Source organism: Homo sapiens, chromosome X (assembly GCF_000001405.40).
Source record: "Homo sapiens chromosome X, GRCh38.p14 Primary Assembly".
NCBI classification, from domain to species: Eukaryota; Metazoa; Chordata; class Mammalia; order Primates; family Hominidae; genus Homo; species Homo sapiens.
This window is the reverse complement of record NC_000023.11, coordinates 35,542,482-35,546,270: the sequence shown is the minus strand read 5'-3', so window position 1 is coordinate 35,546,270 and position 3,789 is coordinate 35,542,482.

The following is a 3,789-nucleotide window of genomic DNA, read 5'->3' as shown; positions in this document are numbered from 1 at the left end:
TGGGGGTTGTGGGAGTTCCTGTGGCTAGGACCCCAGAGATCTGCGGCAGGAATATGGTGCCCTGGAGTTCCTTCACTCATCCCTTCTCTTAGATTTGGTTTTGGGCCAGGAGCCAATCCTGGCACCCAACATCTCTGAGCAGACTTTTCAACTTCTGTTTTCATCTATGGTGTCTGTACTACCTGTCTCATTAAGTGTTTTCTCTCTAAAGATCTGTCTGAAGTGTAATGGTTTACATGAAACTTTGGTTCCTCTCAGTGCAAGAGACATTTCCTGATTGTGTCTAGTCAGCTATCTTCCGAATTTTTTTTTCTTTTTTATTCTTTTTTTTTTTTGAGACAGAGTCTTGTCTGTCTCCAGGCTGGAGTGCAGTGGCGTGATCTCGGCTCACTGCAACCTCTGACTCCCTGGTTCAAGCAATTTGCCTGCCTCAGCCTCCCGAATAGTTGGGATTACAGACACATGCACCACGCCCAGCTAATTTTTGTAATTTTTGTAGAGACGGGGTTTCACCGTGTTGGCCAAGATGGTCTCGATCTCCTGACCTCGTGATCTGCTGGCCTTCACCTCCCAAAATGCTGGGATTACAGGCATGAGCCACTGCACCTGGCCCTTCTGAAAAATGTTATGGAGAGTTTCAACAGTATATGTAATTAAACAAAAGAAAGAAGAAGTGAGTTCGAAGATAGGTCATTTGAAATTACACTATCAGAGGAATAAATAGAAAAAAGAATTAAAAATGGTAAAGAAAACCCAGAGAGCTTATGGGACACTCTCAAGAAGTCAATATATGCATTATGAGAGTTGAAGAAGAAACAGATAAAGAAAAAAGGGCAGAAAGCTTATTTAAAGAAATAACAACAGAAACGTTCCCCAAAACTGGAGAGAGACATGAACCTCTCAATCCATGAAGCCCAAAAGCATCAAATGGCTTCAACATAAAGAGGTCTTCACTGAGACACATTATAATCAAATCCTCAATAGTCACACAAAAGAATTTTGATAACAGCAAGAGAAATGTTTCTTGTAACATGCAGGAGAACCATGATAAGATTATCAGCATATTTCTCAGCAGAAAACCTGCAGGCCAGGAAACTGTGGGATGATATATTAAAAGAGCTAAAATATACATACACACAAATACCAACCAACAATACCATGCTGCATAAAGCGTCCTTCAGAAATGAAGGAGAAATGAAACTTTTTTAGACAAAAAAAGTTAATGGAGTTCACTACCACTGAACCTGTTCTATAAGAAATCTTAAAGTTATGCAGGTTGAAACAAAAGAAAGCATGAAAATATTTAAAAGTTTTAAAACTCACTGTGAAGGTAAGAATATAGTCAAATTCACAATACTCTAATACTCTAAGGGTGGTGCTTAAGAAACGTTTAACTCTAGTATAAAAGACAAAAGTGGCCAGGCACAGTGGCTCACACCTGTAATCCCAGCACTTTGGGAGGCCAAGGTGGGCGGATCACCAGGTCAAGAGATGGAGACCATCCTAGCTAACACAGTGAAACCCCGTCTCTACTAAAAATACAAAAAATTGCCAGGTGTGGTGGTGGGCGCCTGTAGTCCCAACTACTCGGGAGGCTGAGGCAGGAGAATCTAGGAGGCGGAGCTTGCAGTGAGCCGAGATTGCGCCACTGCACTCCAGCCTGGGTGACAGAGCAAGACTCCATCTCAAAAAAAAAAAAAAGAAAAAAAAAGACAAAAGTATTAAAGTAATTATAGCTATGATAATTTATTAATATTTGTGTGGCTATTCAATTCACAAAAAAATGTAAATTGCAACATCAATAATATAAAATGTGGAGGGAAAAAGTTAAAATGTAGATTTTTTTGTATGCGGTTGAAATTAAGTTGTTATCAGCTCAAAATAAACCGTTATAGCTATAATGCATTTTCTGGAAGCCTTGTGGTAATCACAAAGAAAACAAAACTCTCGTAGATATATAAAAAATAAAGAGAAAGGAATCAAAGCATAACACTACAAAGAATCAAGTCACAAAGGAAGACAGCAAGAGAAGAAAGGAATGTAAACAACAAACCAGGCAGAAAACAATGAACAAAATGACAATAGTAAGTCCCTACCTATATTGATAATTACTTTAAATGTAAATGTATTAAATTATTCAATAAAATGACCCAGAATTGCTGAATATCTAAAATTGTGAGGTCTAACTATATACTGCCTCCAAGACACTCCCTTTAGTTTTAAGAGCACACAGAGTGAAAGTGCAGGAATAGAAAAACATATTACATGCCCAAGCAAATGGTAGTCAAAAGAGATCACTAATGGCTATATGTACATCAGACAAAATAAACTTTAGGTCAAGAGCTGTCACCAGTGACAAAGAAAGTCATCATAAGAGATGATTAAGAGATCATTTCATCAAGAGGTTATAATAATTGCAAATATATATGTACCCAACATTGTAGCACCTAAATATGTGAAGCAAGCATTAGCAGAACCAAAGGAAGAAATAGACAGTAACACAATAAGAGTGGCAGAGTTCAATACCCACATTTAATAATGGATAGAACATCCATACAGAAAATCAATAAAGAAGCAACAGACTTGAACAATACCGTAGATCAAATGTACCTAAAAGATATGTACATTTTATTCCAAAGCTACAGAATACAGACTTGTTCAAGTACACAAAAAATTCTCCAGGATAGATCATATCCTAGGGCACAAAACAAGTCTTAACAATTTTAAGATTAAGATTATATAAATTATCTTTTCTGACCACAATGGTATGAAATTAGAAATCATTAATAAGAGGAATTTTAGAAAATCCACAAATGTGTGGAAATTAAACAACATACTCCTGAACGCCTGTTCTTGCATACCTCATGGGTCAAAGAATAAATTAAGAGGGAAATAAAAAATATCTTGAGATGGCCAGGCGTGGTGGCTCACGCCTGTAATCCCAGCACTTTGGGAGGCCGAGGTGGGCAGATCACAAGGTCAGGAGATCGAGACCATCCTGGCTAACACGGTGAAACCCCGTCTCTAATAAAAAATACAAAAAATTAGCCAGGCATGGTGGCGGGCGCTTGTAGTCCCAGCTACTCAGGGGGCTGAGGCAGAAGCATGGCATGAATCCGGGAGGCGGAGTTTGCAATGAGCCAAGATTGCACCACTGCACTCCAGCCTGGGTGACAGAGTGAGACTCTGTCTCAAAAAAAAAAAAAATGTCTTGAGATATACATGTGTCAGCATACTCTGACACAAACATACCAAAATTTATGGAACATAGCAAAGGCAGTTCTAAAGACAAATATATAGTAGTAAACCTCTACATTAGAAAACAAAACAAAAAAATCAAATAAATAACCTAACATAACATCTCAAGGAACTAGAAAAAGAAGAATTCAGCCAAACATAATAGAAGGAAGGAAATTATAATAAAGTTCAGAGAAATAAATAGGGACTAGAAAAACAATAGAAAATACAAATGAAATTAAGTGGTTTCATTTAATATTTTAATATTAAAATAAGATGCACAAAATCAAAAAACTTTACCTATACTAAAAGAAAAAGAAGGAAGACTCAAATGAATAAAATCAAAAATGAAAGAGGACATATCACAACTGATACTACAGAAATATAAAGGATAAGAAACTATGAACAATTACGTGCCAACAAGTTGGAAAACTTAGAAGAAATTGATACATTTCTAGAAACACATAACTTATTAAAACTGTATCCTGATGAAATAGAAAATCTGAATAAAGGCTGGGCATGTTGGCTCATGCCTGTAATCTCAGCACTTTG